Source organism: Homo sapiens, chromosome 6 (genome assembly GCF_000001405.40).
Source record: "Homo sapiens chromosome 6, GRCh38.p14 Primary Assembly".
NCBI classification, from domain to species: Eukaryota; Metazoa; Chordata; class Mammalia; order Primates; family Hominidae; genus Homo; species Homo sapiens.
The window spans coordinates 56,651,465-56,669,066 of NC_000006.12; the positions used below are offsets into that span (position 1 = coordinate 56,651,465).

General features: G+C 37.9%; 1 protein-coding gene across 9 annotated transcripts in view; it reads right to left on the reverse strand.

The window, feature by feature from the left end:
• The window catches only part of DST (dystonin), a 496,835-nt gene that overhangs the window by 193,469 nt on the left and 285,764 nt on the right, over nucleotides 1-17,602 (reverse strand). The window lies entirely within an intron of this gene.

The window sequence follows — 17,602 nt, forward strand, 5'->3', positions numbered from 1 at the left end:
ATATAAATTTCAACAAAGTCTACAAATATATCATAGTCAGAATATATATGAGTATTTGTCCTATTCAACTGATTTAAGCTACGCTACTCCAACAGCATCTTTCCAATCCAACCAGCATCCTGTCAATGTTTTTCCTCTAAGACAAAAAGCTTGTAGCTTAATTCAGTGCTGTGTCCATGGCCTCCCCATTGCACCATACCCTTTCACATCATCTTTGTCTTCTATAATCCTAGTCATTCTTCCAAGGAGAGATCAAGCTCCACCTCCTCTATGGAGCCTGGCTGATCTTCCTAGCCCTTATTTCTGTCTCTGTTTCCTGAACTCATACTTCCAGCCTGCACCCCACGATATGGCACTTAGGATAATCTTAGACTCCTTGCCCTATTAATTCACTGGTTCGTGTACATGTATATGTTGTTTCTCCCAAACCGTCAACTCCAAGATAGCAAGTACTATGTATTAAGAAAATTTTGTATTTTATCCTTCTGCTGTAATAAAGAATGATATATAGTACACCCTCAACAAATATCTACTGATAAGTTGGTAAGTAGGTTGGTTCCTTAGTAATCTGAATCATAAATGAATGTCTATAATAAGCAATAGTTTATGTTTTCATGAGCACACATGTGTGCATGTGCCCCCCTACACACACACACAGTCACACATCCCAGACTTCATATCTTTATAATTTGTGAGATTTACGTAACACCCTAAACCATGCAGAAACTTTGAAGCTAGCTCTATCTACATGAGAGAGGAAAAGATTCTTCAAATGCTTCTTGTAGAGAAAGTGGCAAAATATGGACATTGGAGACTTCACTCAAGGCTAGAAGCCAGTCAGGAAACTTGGATCTCAAAAACAAAGCATTGAAAGACTACCGGAACAATGTGGAAACAGGAAAGCCTTCAAAGAGTGGTACTCACCACCCAAAAAAATCACTGAGTAAGAACCTGTTGATAGCTTACAAAGAAAGGCTCTCTACAAGCTCCACAAGCATTCCTGTTTGCTCAAAATAATCATTTGGGAAACCACAGAAAGAGTGGGAGGGCTCAAAGGTAGTGTGGGAGAAATGAAATGCAGATTATTTTGTATACTACTTGGCAGGCTGCTTATATGAAAAGCTGTTTGAAAATATATCATTAATATTAGAAAGCTAAGTGGCAATTTGTACTCTTTTATGGTGAGAAAACAGACCTTTCAAGAAAATCTTATACTTTTATATCACTTTGCACTGTTCATAACCTGGGAATGTGGTTACCATCACCTACATGCTCATATTCCAGGAAATTATTAGGAAATCCTTTAATGTTTTCAACCTGCCACCAATATGACCACTCTTTTAAAAGTGACCCTACAATTATTATAGGAACAATAAATCCATTGACAACTATGGAAGTAAATAACAGACCTCCAAAAGTAACATTTTTTATTCACATAGAAACATCTGAAGAATCTGCCAACCTCAAGATTAGTAAACAGGTATGTATAGCAGTCTAGACAAAAACAAATATCTGAAGTTCTTTCAATAAAAAATCGTTTTGTTTCCGTAAAATTTGCACCTTTTAGGGAAATAAAAAACAGACTTTGTAAGTCTGCCAAATCTCAGAACAAGACATGGCATGTTATTATGAGAACCCTGCCATTAGCAAAGAAAGTAAACACTGAGTAATCCTAGAGGGAATGAATAAAGTCATTGAAGAATCAAGTTTTTCAGCTAAGAGAATAAAACATAAAACTTCCTTCAGAATGACATAGTCATTTCAACACAAAAGCAGCTGTAGAATACAATGAGTCTGAGTAAGTCATCTCTTTTATCATGATGTTTAACACTTTAATGGAACAAAAACTGAAATGGTTTTCCTCCACTAAAAGACAGCAGATAAAGAAAATTAGTTAAACAAAAAATGGGAAAAGGGAAAACTTTAAAAACCACTACAAAGCTGGGTGCGGTGGCTCATACCTATAATCCCAGCATTTGGGAGGCTGAAGAGGGCAGATCACCTGAGGTCTGGAGTTTGACACCAGCCTGACCAACATGGCGAAACCCTGTCTCTACTAAAAATGCAAAAATTAGCCAGGCGTGATGGCAGGCGCCTGTAATCCCAGCTACTCGGGAGGCTGAGGCAGGAGGATCACTTGAACCCAGGAGGCAGAGGTTGCAGTGAGCCGAGATCATGCCACTGCACTCCAGCCTGGACAACAAGAGCGAAACTCCATCTCAAAAAAACACAAAAAACCACTATGAAAAAGTAATAGCCTATAAAATTTAAAATGCTATTCCTCCCTTAGCTCATATCCTAACAGAGTGGTGGTCCCTTTGTCTTTCAAATCTGTCTTTCCTCTACCTGCCTGAAGCATCCAGAAGACGCCTGTGCTGTGTGTGTCCTGTCCACCACCTTCTTTCTTCATAGTCTCACTGGGATAACACAACCTTTAAAAACTTCATTTATTTTTCACACATAGAAGATACTTACTTTCATTCTAAAGGTTTCATTTCTTCGTAACATCTTTTTGTGGAATGTTAACAGGAAATGTCATTTCCATCTTAGGTTTGACTAACCAAAGAGCATTAGACTATATTATAGTGACCATGTTCTCATGTTATATTTTAGATAGTTGAACATTAACTATTGTAACTTGCCTGTTTTATGGAAACCTTTCAAAATCATATAATGTGATCCTTTGCCACTTAAAGTAATAAATGCTAGTCTTTTTATGGAAAAAAAGGCCATTCTCTTATTTTTTTTATTATTCTATGATAATGTTAATGTTTCAAAATGACCCAATTATCATACATTATAATCTTTAAACATGTTTATATCCCAGCTTTATCCCAGCTTTTCTTTCATAAGCAATTAAAAGTAGCTTACAAAGAAAATACAAGATAGCATAAACTTTAAATTAGAAGTATAAAACCAAGAAAAGGCCTTAAAATGAAATTGGAAGTGAGACTAAAAATTGCAAATCACTTATATGCAAGCTTGGTGCCCTGAATTTGTTTAAAAATATAGGGCAGAGAGGTATAGAAAAATGCTATTGTCATAATACAAAATAATTTTGGATAAAAGTAATGTTTATCTTTCATACAACACCCATCTTAAAAGAGCAATCTCCCCTAGGCTATATATATATATATATATCTCCACACGTATATATACATATACAGGTATGTTGGCATTTATGTATAGATAGATAGATATATGGATATAGTATAAGGATATCACCACCTACATTAACAGGTAGCCAAAGCTAGCTGAACATAAAAATTGCATGAGAGATTTTTTTGGCATAGATACCTCCAAGGTAACATTTCAGTACTCCAAAACTTTATTAATACATTAGCTCACATGAGAATTAGATAGGATTCTGCAGGAACATATGACTTCTACAGTGATATAAATGGCTAAAGATCAGGCTGGGCGCAGTGGCTCATGCCTGTAATCCCAGCACTTTTGGAGGCCGAGATGGGAGGATCACCTGAGGTCAGGAATTCCAGACCAGCCTGGCCAATATGGTGAAACCCTGTCTCCACTAAAAATACAAAACTTAGCCAGGCATGGTGTCGGGTGCCTGTAACCCCAGCTACTCGGGAGGGTGAGGCAGGAGAATCACTGGAACCCAGGAGGCGGAGGTTGCAGTGAGCCGAGATCGCGCCATTGCATCCCAGCCTGGGTGACAGAGCGAGACTTTGCCTCAAAAAAAAAAAAAAAAAAAAAAAGATTAGCACAACAGACCACTGAAGGCTTCCACAATATATCATGGCAAACACCAATACACTCAACTGCAAGGAGCATGAAACAACATCAAAGTACTTGGAAAGGAAGTACTTAGAAACATGGCAGAGAGGACACTAATTAAAGTTAACTAAGAGAAAGAAAAATGCCAGCTAAGAGAAGAGTGCTTTAGTGCAGACACAACATTACCAAATCCTGAACCAAAAATGTGACAATAGCTGAAAAGACACATATGGGAAATATCAATGGCCACAGTCCAAATCGGGATTTTTTTAAGGATGAAAAAATAAAGTGACTTAAATTCAGAGTCTGCTGGTTGTGCTGGCTTTCAGCTGGCACTCAATAATTATTTATGTGGATACAAACAGTAAGGTTCTGGCTACCCTGCATCTGCTTTCCTATATTTGAGAAATTTCCCTTTCATAAGTCTTGGGGGTAAGGAGAAGAGCAAAGCCCATTTCCCAGTACAAAAACAGAAATATGTCAGGTTTTTCCTGACTCTTTTATTTGCTCAAGAAATGTCCACTGCATACCTCACCCCCGTACATGACATTACCTGGCCAACTCGAATTCTTTCAGCAGACTCGGTTCCACCACCATTTCCTCCAGGAAGTACTTTCCTCTGTTCCCAAATGCCGTCTGTTATCTTCATTTCTGTATTTACCACATTTTTCATAACTATATATCTGCCTATCTCTCATATTGAACCATGGGCTTCCTGAAGGCAGAGCCTGTGTTTTGTCCATGTTTATATCCTCAATATCTAGCATAATGCTTAAAACATTAACTTTTGAGGATTAAATAAATAATAAAGAAAAACATGAGCTATGGGGACTGGGACATATCAGTGTTTCAAATTCCTGGAGATATGTTCCATCCTAGGCTTGTTCCTTTTCTTTTCACTAATTTCTACTGACAAAACCACCATCTATGGCTTCCAGCCAAGTTTTAGAATCCTTATCGAAATCCACATGGACCAGGGTACAATGTCATAGCTTCCCCATAATCCTAAACAAGCACACACCCTTTCGAGGTTTCCTAAAGGCTTTGTCTCTCCTAAAAAACAATTTGGAAAGCAGGCACGAAGTGAGGACAACAAACAGCGGTGAAGTATAAAAGTTTCAAAAAGCACATGTTGCTGCTTCTAGGTTCTCCTCCCTTCTTATGCTCTCATGTGCCCTCAGCTTCAGCTTCTGATAATGTTGCCAATTGGGATACCTTATAAAGTAATAACAATCACAAAACAACAACAGGGACTAATAAATACTGATACCTACTATGTGGCAGGCAATGCATTAAAGGACTTAAAGCATTATCTCACTTAATCATCTCAATTGACCCTAAGCAGTAGGTTGTGTTATTATCCTGAATTTACAGATGGAAAAACACCAAAGCATAAGGAAGTTATATAACTTGACCAAGAACACAAATCTGGTAAGTGGCAGTCAGGGTTTCAACCCAGGTCTGTCTGACTACAGAGCCTGATTTCTTCTCTGCAATATCCTGGTATCATAAACTGAGAACTAACTAAACAGTAACACCCCATATGAAGCTGAGAATACATAATAAAGAAAATACAGAACAAATTATACTTCTACTACTGGGCAAAATGATAATGATATTGGTAACCCCCATAAAGAAACACAATAATGTATATGTATATGTATGTGTGTGTATTGACATACTCAGAAAAAATAAATCATAAGAAACATGCTGAAGTTCCAGATTATTACCAAAACAGAACTCATCAATGTGTCCTATACCAATGTTTCCCACACTTGGGTCCTAATACAGATTAAGAATAGAAAGAAAGGCCTGGTTATCTGCATTTTAACAAGTTTCTCCCCCCTCCCTCAGGTGATTCGTATCAGGCAAGTTTGATAACTAAACCATGTTAAAAACCCTTCTTTCTAATAATTATTTAATTTCTTTTCAAGATTATAAGCATTTTGTATTGGGGAAAAAACATCCACAATGTCATCAGGCAATTATATAACGACACAAACAAAAGCACCCACAAGCAGAAACATGCTACTGCCTTATGCCCTCAGCAGGAGACAGTGAACCTTTTAACTCTTTTTCAGTGTTTATTTTTATTAAATATACAAGAAAAGAACACATTTAAATGTTAGCAAGGAGGGAGGGTGGGCATGTCATTTTATGTTTGCCCAACTCTGGAGTACACTGTAAAATAATGAAGCCTGGAAAAGATAGCATTTGGTCACATATATTTTTTTTAATCAGAATAAAAAACCCACCTAAACTTTGTGACTTGAGATATCTGATCACTTGAAAAAACACTGGACCACAGTTTCCTTCCTCAATTTAAAAAGGAAAGACAAGACAGAAAGAAGAATGGTGGTTGTCAACGGGTGGGGGGAGAGAGAAATGGGGAATTAGAGTTTCACGGGTACACAGCTTCAGTTACACTGGATGAAAAGAGCTCTGGAGATGGATGGCGGTGATGGTTGTACAACAAAGTAAATGTACTTAATGCCACTTAACTATCAACTTAAAACTGATTAAGATGGTAAATTTTATGCACCTTATCACAATCTAATTTTTTTATTATTTATTTTTTTTGAGACAAGAGTCTCACTCTGTCATCCACCCTGGAGTGCAGTGGTGCAATCTCAGCTCACTGCAACCTCAGCCTCCCAGGTTCTAGCAATTCTCCTGCCTCAGCCTCCCAAGTAGTTGGGATTACAGGCACCTACCACCATGCCCAGCTAATTTTTGTATTTTTAGTAAAGACGGGGTTTCGCCATGTTGGCCAGGCTGGTCTCGAACCCCTGACCTCAAGTGATCCACTCGCCTCGGCCCCCCCAACTGCTGGTATTATAGGCATGAGACACTGCGCCTGGCCGTAATTCTTTTTTTTTGACATGGAGTCTCACTCTGTCGCCAGGCTGGAGTGCAGTGGCGCAATCTCGGCTCACTGCAACCCCCGCCTCCTGGGTTCAAGCGATCCTCCTGCCTCAGCCCAGCCTCCCGAGTAGCTAGGAATTCTTTAAATTTTTAAAAAACAGTTTTTACATATTTGAGAGAAAAGCCTAAATTGAGGTGGAACACACACACAAAGCACAGAGCTGTGAGTCAGGTGTCCTGTGATTTAGTCCTAATTTGCTCTCTGACTTTGGACACACATCCTGCAACCTGTGTCTCAGTTCTTTCTGCAGAAAATGAGTATCAAGAATTACAGAAGTTAGAACAAAAATCACGTACAGAGCATCTGGAAATGTGTATGAGTATGGGAGGGGGGACATTATGGGCTGGTTATAGCATAAGGTTCAAAGAACTCAACTGATTTACCCAAGATCTCAAGAGATTTACGTGAAAGTAGTTGTGAAACTTAGTATAAAGGGCAATGTGCGCAGGTTACCAAAACGTATCTATCAGCATAAAAACAACACCATAAAAGGGTAATCGGAGAAGACAACCTGATGCTTTGGTATGCTACATAGAAATAATTCTTCCCAGTCAAAAAACTAGCAAGTTCATTCATTTATTCATTCACTCAATATTTAATATGCATTTACCATGTTCCAGGAAGTAAGGCACTGAGAACAGCCACTGTGCATATGGAGAGCTCAGAGCTCCAAAGGGAGCTCAGGAGTAAACCAGGAGAAAACCTGGTGGAAGAGCACTCAGGTGATGAAAAAAGGCATGCATAGGTCTGTGGTTGAAGGGCACAGGACTACAAGGAGACCAGTGCATGAGTGGGGAGCCAGCAGCCAGGGGAACATGGTAAGACATGGCTCTGGATGTGTGGCAAAGGGCCAAGACAATGCAGACTCTCATGAACGTCTTAAAGGATTGTAAACTTTTTCCCCAATAGCTATGAAAAGCCATCAAAATGCATTAAGGAGGATTAGAAGAGATTAAATGATCAGATCTGGGGGTGGACAGAGAAAAAAATTTAAATGGTCAAAGAACTCCCACAGAATCCAGTTAAGTGGCTATGGTGGCTTGCAGAAGAATGTGGCAGCAGTGGATAAAAAGTGGCCAAGTCAGGAGATATTGAGAAAGTCAAATCTACAGAACCCAGTTATATGACAATGGTTATAGTAATTAGGGCTGTAAGCATGGATGAGAGACAACACAGAGAGAAAAGAAAAAGTCCAACAGGCAATCTTGAAAAACTCGAGTGTTTACTGGCCTTGTGAAAGAGGCCAAGTTTACAGAGGGAACTAAGCAGGAGCAGACAAGAAGTGGGAGAAAAACCAGGAGTACAGTGTCATAAAAGCTAAAGGAGAGAGTATTTCAAGAAGAAAAGAATGGCCAATAGGGTGAAATACTAAAATGTAAGGAAGAGGAGGCCTGAAAAATATCCACTGGATTTAGCTATACAGAAGTCACCCATGACCCAAGAATAAGTGTTTTAATGAATTATGGGGTAAGAGACTAGATTAGTATGTGTTGAAGAATGAGTATGAAGTGAAGAAATGATGGAGGATATTGCCACCTCTTCTGAGGACTTTGGCCTTGAAGGAAAGGAATGATATAAGGTAGTAGCTGGAATAAAGCATGCAGTTAAGGGAGAGTGTTTTTGTTGATTGTTGTTTTATTAACAGAAGAGGCTGCAACATGCTTAAAATCCAATAAGAAAGATCTATTGAAGGAAAAAGATGAATATATACAAGAAAGGTTTCTAAGGCAATGACAGAGATAAGATCCAGGGCACAGCAGGAGGGGACAGGCTTTGGGTAGGTGGAGAGAGGACTCCTGTGTTGAACAGCAGCAGCGGGGGTGAGGATGGATGCAGAAGAAGATAGGTTTGTGTCTTTGGTAGCAAAAAAGACTTTCTACTTGTTGGCTTCAATTTTCTCTGAGAGTAGGAGTCTAGATCACCTGTTAACACTGAGAAAAGGTGGTGGGAGGAGGTGCTGTGAGGAAGAGAAGGGTTAATCATACAGATAGAAAAAGACTGCTGGCCAGAACCATTTGAGGCTGGTGATAATGAAGTTCTAATGAAATCAATCTACCCTGAAGTATCGCTTTCTCTGGTGTGCTTCCTGTGTGGGGACATGCACAGACAAAGCACATGGCTGGGTTCATACAGGCTCAGCCTTTGCTGGCAAAATAGTACATACTCAGCAGTTTGCAAGGAATTGAAAAGGGATTGTGTGGAAGTGTAAAACAAAACAAAAACAAAAACAAGCCTCACTCCATTCCTAAAGATCATTTTTAGAACACCCTCTATACTACAGAACAACCCACACAGAGGTGACTGAAGACACATATGCCACTTAACATCTGCTTTTCAAAAGATCATATGCCTCACTTATCCTATGATAGCAGAGAAGTTACCGTAACAAATTCCTGAAGATGACTGTTTCGATTAAATCATGCTCAGACTTAGCATGTCCTTACTGTTCTTATTGGTGCAAAAAGCACCTCACCTTGCAATCACCAAAAAAAAAAAAAGAAAAAAAAAAAAAGGCCTGCGTAACTCAGTGTAGACATCCCTTCATGCTCATATTTGGGCACAGATTAGCAACAAGCTATGAAGGTAATTTTCCCTTGTTCTCAAAACTAGGTGCCTGAGTTTTTTCAAACATTCTTTTTTTTTTTTCTACAAAGTGACTCTCCATTAACAACAAGGTAGACAGCAAAGATGAGAAACAGTATATTTTTTTCTACAAAGTGACTCTCCATTAACAACAAGGTAGACAGCAAAGATGAGAAACAGTATATTTATAGCAAGCTTAGTTAGTACTTCAAGGTTAGAGTCTAACAAATTCAATAATTAAAACATATCTAATGAATTATGACTTTCTCACTTCACAAAGAACAATCAATCCCATTAACAGCCTAAATTTTAATGAATACAGAGAATGGTATTGATGTTGATAGAGAAGTAACTCCTCCAGTACCTATATTTTAGTGAATAAAAGGAAAATTTAAGTAAACTTTAGTGACTAATAAGGATAAATACACCCTCCCCAAAAAGGGGGTAGTGGGAATCAATTTATTTTTATTATGGTAGAAAACTAAATCTCAAACTACTTCATATCACAGGCTAAGATGATAATGTGAATAATCAAGTCAAAATACAAGAAGTGTTAAAACAAATAGATGAACCTATCAAAGAAAAACAGATAGAGTTACATATACCGGCTGCTCCTGTAATGTAAAAGAAATCTTCATGTGAGAGAAAGGTAAGAGAATGCTAAAGGGAAACATGACAAAGGCAGGACTTGTCAAGTTTCTAAGTAAGGAGAGTTTTGATCAAAACCCATCTTCCCTCAAGCTTTACAGCCCTATTGTTAGTGGATCAGTGGCAGCATGCGGGGGGAGGGGAAACTCATGTTGATTACATACTTCCTAAATCTCTAGGAGAGTGATAGGCACTCTCATAAGCTAACTCAAGACAGCCCCACTCTAACAGTTTTTTTTTTTTTGAGGCTGAGTTTCACTCTTGTTGCCCAGGCTGGAGTGCAATGGTGCCATCTCAGCTCACTGCAACCTCCGCCTCCCAGGTTCAAGCGATTCCCCTGCCTCAGCCTCCTGAGTAGCTGGGATTACAGGCACCTGCCACCAGGCCTGGCTAACTTTTTGTATTTTTAGTAGAGCCGCCGTTTCTCCATGTTGGCCAGGATGGTCTTGAACTCCTGACCTCGGGTGATCCGCCCGCCTTGGCCTCCCAAAGTGCTGGGATTACAGGTGTGAGTCACCGCGCCCGGCCGACCCTCTAACTTTTTAAATGATCACATCACTGAAATTTGTCAACTTACTTCGTCACTTTTCCCCCTAAACTCGTAATACATGCATGCTTAGACTAACAGCTTGCACATCAAACTGAGTGAAACATAGGCCTTCAATTTCATCACGGGCACATCTTTAAAAGCTGAAAAGAAATAATTTTATGAATGAAAGGGCAAAGTAAAAGAAAGAATAGAAAAAAAAGAGTGGGGCTTAGACCTGCTAAAAGGTAATTAACAAGTTAAGAAGTGTTTCTTTCTCAAAGGCATCATGGAGGGGAAACAGTGCAGAAGAGGTATGCATCAGTACAACTCTTTTGGCAGACAATTCAGAAGTACGTCTCAAAATTTTAAATGTAATACCCTTTGTCCCAGCAATTCCACTTCCAGGACCTTATCCTATGGATATATTCACATGCCTCACAAAGACACATACAAAGTTCAGTACAACAGTTTTAAAAGCAAAAAACAACATAATATCCATCAATAAGGCACTCTAAACAAAATGTTATACACATACAATAGAATACCATATGGTATTTTTTAAAAATCACAGATACAAGAAAAAGTAGGACTGTGGTAACAAGTGCCTGCTGTAGAAATTGCAACTAGGTTTGCCAGTCTCCCATGAAGAGGACAACCAGATGAGCTATCTTCCTACCGTGGCTGTGTCACTTTTTCAGTTTTCTGCTTCAAAAATGGAAGTAGGAGAATGTGGGCTATACCTTACATCACATCTATAAAGATCTTTTTTGGCCGGGCGAGGTGGCTGATGCCTGTAATCCCAGCACTTTGGGAGGCCAAGGCAGGTGGATCATTTGAGGTCAGGAGTTTGAGAACAGCCCAACCAAAATGGTGAAACCCTGTCTCTACTAAAAATACAACAAAATTAGTTGGGCATGGGGGCGGGGGGGTCATGCCTGTAGTCCCAACTACTCAGGAGGCTGAGGCAGGAGAATTGCTTGAACCCGGGAGGTGGAGGTTGCAGTGAGCCAAGATCGCACCACTGCACTCCAGCCTGGGTGACAGAGCAAGACTCCATCTCAAAACAAAACAAAACAGAACAAAACAAAACAAAGAAACAAAACAAAACACACAGTAATGGGAGGCTTCATATTACAGAGAATTTCTGTAAATTAATCTAGGCAAGAAGGCCAGGAACATAAAAAGAAAGTAATATATTCAGATATTTCCTCCAAATATTACATGCCAAATTACATCTCCCAAACTGTAGGTAAAACCATATAGATACAATAAAAATGGTCACCAGATGTAGACACTAACTCTTACACCTCACTTGGATGCAGACGCACTACATTATAAGCAGTGTACATTAACTCTAAGAATTTTAAAATGTGATAATGGTTAGAAGTCATCCATTTCTGTTCTCAAAGTTCAATCATTTTGAGTTCACTTGGCAAGGTAAATAAGCAATTTGATTTTTTCTACACAAGCTGAAATACTGTTAACTACTTTTTAATTGATAACTTTCAGGCTCTGTGTGTGTCTGGCTTGTGGCCAAACTACAGCCCATGGCCATGTGTATGCACACACATACATACACCCTCATACCTCTGGATTCTGCAGCCTGAAGGCTAAGTCAACACTAAGCCAACTTCCTATGGGAACATTTCAAACCCTAAAGGGCCTCCTCCCGGTATTAAACCAGTCCAATCCAGTTTAGCTTCTAAGGTGTGACTGAATTCACGCATGTGACTGAATCACCGGCCTCCAGGTCATGCTATTAAACAAGATGACTCTGACCACAGCTTTACAATCTAACCTTCACAATTACAGCATCTTTAAACTTTAATATAATGAAATATGATGGCCCTATTATATTCTCATTCAAAATGCAAACAATGGACAAAATAATTGCTATCCAACTACATACTCAGACAAGTGAAAAGTTCCTGGCTGCTTAATTAGAAAACATTTGACTGCTTTGCTCCTGCATACAACCTATTCCCAAAATTTTGAGTCTTAATTGGCTAACATATTTAAAACAAACCTATGAAAAGACTGCCAGGGACATTAAAAGGAAAATTATTTATTTATTTATGTTTAGCTTTTTTATTTTTATTTTTTAAAGGCAATTTAAATAAATGAATGAGATAAATTAAAAACAAGCATAAGACAGGCAGAAACTAGTAAGCAGAAATAATCTCTTCAAACACACACACCTCTAGTTTTAGTCTTGACATACTTAGTGTCTTTCCATAGAGCCACCTCAGATTTGCAAAGCCCTCCTGCACATTCTGCACTGTTCTCTCTGGCCTTCAGGTACATATTCATGTTCATGCCTGCTCAGGCAGACTTGTTTGCACACAGAGCAATGTTAGGCACTGCTGTTTTGGAATTTGGCTTTCATTAATGTTCTAAGGCAGATATCTACTTGGAGAGAATGAGAGAAGCCAGACAAGTCAGAGGCTAAATTTCAAGCTGGAAGTCAGAGCTTTACCTCTCTCAAAAAGAAGTCAATTTTACTGTGATGCCTCGGCAAACCCTTAAATAAGAGGAGAGCTGAACCCTCTGTTTGTAACACCTACCTCTGAGGAACAAGCACTACTGTCTGGGATTTCATTCCTCTATATCAACCCTAACTCTTGGTGACTTATTAATCCACTAGTGTTTAAAGGATACTCCTAGGATCCCTTGCCTATTGGCTCTTGGTTAATTCTACTTTATCCTCTCTTGCTTTTAATCTCCTTACACACCAGATGTTTTTGTGACAACCTTTTGATCTAAGTTCATCAAATCCAGTATTCTTTGTTAGTCTTTTGATTGAAAATTAAGGTAAGGTTAGGGGCAATAGTAAGGCTTATTTACCCAAGATATCTTACCAGTTGTGGTTTTTAGCAATAAGGTTGTATTATATTCTAAAAAAAGTTAAAGTATACAAACAGAACAAGCAGAAACTAGTATAGGTATGTAGTATTTTTATTATTTGAAACTTTTCCACTGAAAACTGAACATAACACACAGAAATTCCTAGAAGGAATTATGAACAGAATTTCCTAATACAGATTTAACAGAAAGACATAATGTATTTATCAGTGACCTATTTAAATAGAAGCTATAGAACTATCCCTTGCAATCTCTTCCACTAAATCATATAACTTTGTCATTCTTACTACCCCATTACATAATCCAGGCTCTTCATCCTCTTTAGGATAATGTGACATACTAAAACTGCTTAATTTCGCTGTGATTTTGCTCTTACTCGTTCTAAAAATCTTAAGTTCTTTCATTATCCATAATTTTCCTTAAGTTGTTATGAGTTGTTGCTGATGCTATTTTCATAGGTAGCTAATTCCAAGTTAAACTCTAAGGCTAACTCTAAGTTAAACAACTTCATTAAACCCTCATTAATTAAGGTTAAATAATTTTGGTAACTAATTAGTTAAACAACTAAATTAAACCCTCATTAATTTCTTACAAGGGGCAAAGACTTTAGTTGTCAGTTGTATATGGCACTATTCATTTAGTCATTTCTTAAGTTCATCGATAATTTTCATATATCTTTGCTGAAAATATCATTGAGCTTCAAGAATGCGCTATCACAGTTGTTCTGATCAACAGTTCCATTTCTTTAAATCTAGTTTGCCTAAAGGAAATTATGTAAGTAGTTACATGGAAGTATATGAAGATGAGAATTCAGAGCAACCACCTCCGTTATGTAAAAGGTATGTGATGTCAAAAATATGAGTTACTCTTTGAGCCTCAGTTTCTTTATTGATAAAAATGAAGTCATGCCATAAAGACGGCAACAACCAGACACTGGGGACTACTATGGGGTGGGGGCAAGGGCTGAAAACTACTTATTAGGTGTGATGCTCACTACGTGGGTGACAGGACCAGTTGTACCCTAAACCTCAGCATCATGCAATATACCCAAGTAACAAACCTGCACATATACCCCTAGAATCTAAAATAAAAGTTGAAATTGTTTTAAAAATGGAGTCACAATCTATTTCACAGGATTGTGGTAATTTTAAAAGCTAACACATTAAAAAACAGCTAGGACAGAAACTGCCACATGGCCAACATGATACATGTATTTCTTAGGTAACTACTTTGTGACTGTTACTTACTTTTTAACTTCATGGATCATTTTTATTCTGTAACATCTATAAATTACACTTATTATAAAAATTTCTCTTCACTGTTATTTCACATATTAATTCTCTCAAGAAACATGACAATTAGAAAATTATATTTTCTACGGAAAATTTTAGGATACTGAATTGTTAGTAAAACAAATACTCTTTATGGGGCTAACAAACATTCTTTTTATTTTCAAGAGTCATATTCTATATGGAAACACTAATAAAAATGTGCTGGACAATCCAAATTAATATATTTGATTAATAACTTATAACAGTATAATTTATATTAATAAAAAATGTGAAGGATGCTATTGCTCTGTTCCTATTTCAGATCAATATTTCTAAATCTTTAGAAGATATGCACCAAAAATCTTACTAAGTCACCTATCACATATAATACTGGTTTGCTTTTAAGTAAAAAATATATTTTCCTTCTAATCTCTGGAGAAAAATTTCCTATTCTATCTTGAGTATGCAAATTTGCTACATAGGGATAACCACATCCCTCTTTTCATCCACTACAGCAACCAACAGAAACCAAACCCACTGTGCCACCTCAGATAATTTTTATTGACAAAGCCAAGTAAAATCCATATAAATGTTTGATCTAGATACAAAAAATAAAGCCCAATAAAATGGACATTTTCCACAACAAATCCAAATACAGCACAAAACTTATGGGAATAATTATCAAGTAAAAACAATTATTAAGTAAAAAACTACTCTTTTTTTTTTTTTTTTGAGACAGGGTCTTGCTCTGTCACCTACCCTGGGGTGCAGTGACACAGTCACAACTCACTGCAGCCTCGACCTCCTGGACTCAAGCTATCCACCCACCTCAGACTCCCAAGAAGAAAATGAGGTGGAGGCAGAAGCAGGTAACGTTTAGGACCCTTTTTAGTCTAAAGCTGTACTAACAGACTACAAATACAACACAGAAGTCAGAGGTCACAATAGGCAGAGTCAAGCAACTGAAAGTAGAGAATTAAAAAAAAAAACTCCAAAGAAAATTCTAAATTCTAATTCTAAAATCTCTACAGGTGTATGCCACCATGCCTGGCTAATTTTTAAATTTTTTGTAGAGATGGGGTCTTGGTGTGCTGCCCAGGCTGGTCTCCAACTCCTGAGCTCCAGCAATCCTCCTGCCTCAGCTTCCCAAAGTGCTGGGATTATAGGCGTGAGCCAGGGCACCCAGCCAAGACATTACTCTCTAAATGTGATTATTATTGTCCAATACCAAAAAATTTGCTCATGGTGATATTTTGATTGTTTATAATTTTGTCTCTTTTTTCTTTTAGAATAAATCAAGGCATTCAACAGTGAGAAATACACACAATTCAACTCTCTTCATTTAATTTTTTCATATGCTGGAAGAAAAGTACTTAATTTTCTTTTCAAGTAAAGAAAGGCTCAATGACTTCAACTAAAAACGAAGTTCTACAGATGAAAAGTTTCTTCTAGTGAAAGAAACCACAATAATATTTTATAAGCCACAGGACAACGACAGAATTTCAGCAACAAAGAAATCTTGTAAGCATTTAAACCTGATATATGGTATTTTAACCACGAACCTTAACAAAGGAAAATAAAGCAAACTAGGAAAACCAAAGTCCTAAGTTAAAGCTAAACATTGTTCTAAAAAGGTATTTCTGCCAAAATAAAAGTTCAAAACAAATAATTCAAAGACTCAAATTCTCACCTAAAGCAGTAAGAGCTCTATGACATCAAGCTTTTGTAGGAAATTTTAGGATCTCTGACACACAAAATGAAATATTTAAGTACTTAGGAGAAAAATGCATTATATATATATATATATACACACACACACACACATACACCAATTTGTACTTATAATTATTCATGAGTACCACAGAGACAATGTCCAGAGGCCATTGTTTTTAAAAGTAGGGGTTTTTCTAATCTATTTTATTTTTTTAGAGATGGGGTCTTGCTATATTGTCTAGGTTGGTCTCAAATTCCTGGCCTCAAGCAATCCTCCGGCCTCATCCTCCCTGCCAAAAGTAGGTTATTTTAGAAGAATAGCTGGATCCCATATTTTGCTTCTGCCTAAAAAACTTCAAAGGAGAGAGCAGAACACACCCTCAAAGATGCACTGTTACAAATACTTTAGGTATCACAATTGAAATATTTTAATTAAAGGCCACAAAGATTCTATCATTCCAAGTATAGAATGTGTCCAGCTGCACAGCCTTCTCATGGCCTCTCATTCTAAGTCACCTGGAAAGTGTAATATGATGATGGCTGTGTCTACAGCCACTAAACCTTCACTCAAGAAGATCTGGTGCTTTAAACAAGTGTAGGCAAGTTGATCCTGGTTTTTCTTTTCGATTCAGCAACCTACACCCACCTCTATTTAAATGTTGTTCCACAAAGGAAGGATACAATTATAGTATTTTAAAATAGGGGCCAGGCATGGTGGCTCACGCAGCCAAGCACGGTGGCTCATGCCTGTAATCCTAGCACACTGGGAGGCTGAGGTAGGCGGATCACCTGAGGTAAGGAGTTCAAGACCAGCCTGGCTGACATGGTGAAATCCTGTCTCTACTAAAAATAAATAAAAAAAAATTTTAAAAAATTTAAAAAAATTAGCCGGGAGTGGTGGCAGGCACCTGTAATCCCAGCTACTTGAGAGGCTGAGGCAGGAGAATCACTTGAACCTGGGAGGCAGAGGTTGCAGTGAGCTGAGATCATGCCATTGCACTCTAGCCGGGGCAACAAGAACAAAATTCCGTCTCAAAAAATTAATTAATTAATTAAATAAAATAAAAATAGGGGCTCCTGAGTGTGTGTATGTGGAGGATTCATTACAGTTTTTAGACATTGAAATTTCCAAAATAAAAAGGGAGAAAGAAAAGGGGAGAGAAAAGAGAAGTGAAAGGAAGGAAGAAAGAGGAAAGAGAGGAAGAGAACGGGATGTCAAATCAAACAGAGCTGGTTTTGAGTCTTAATTCTCTAACTTATTAGCAGTATAAACTTGGTAAACCTAAGGTTCCTTATCTGTAAAAGCTGGATAATAACAATTCCTGCTTTATG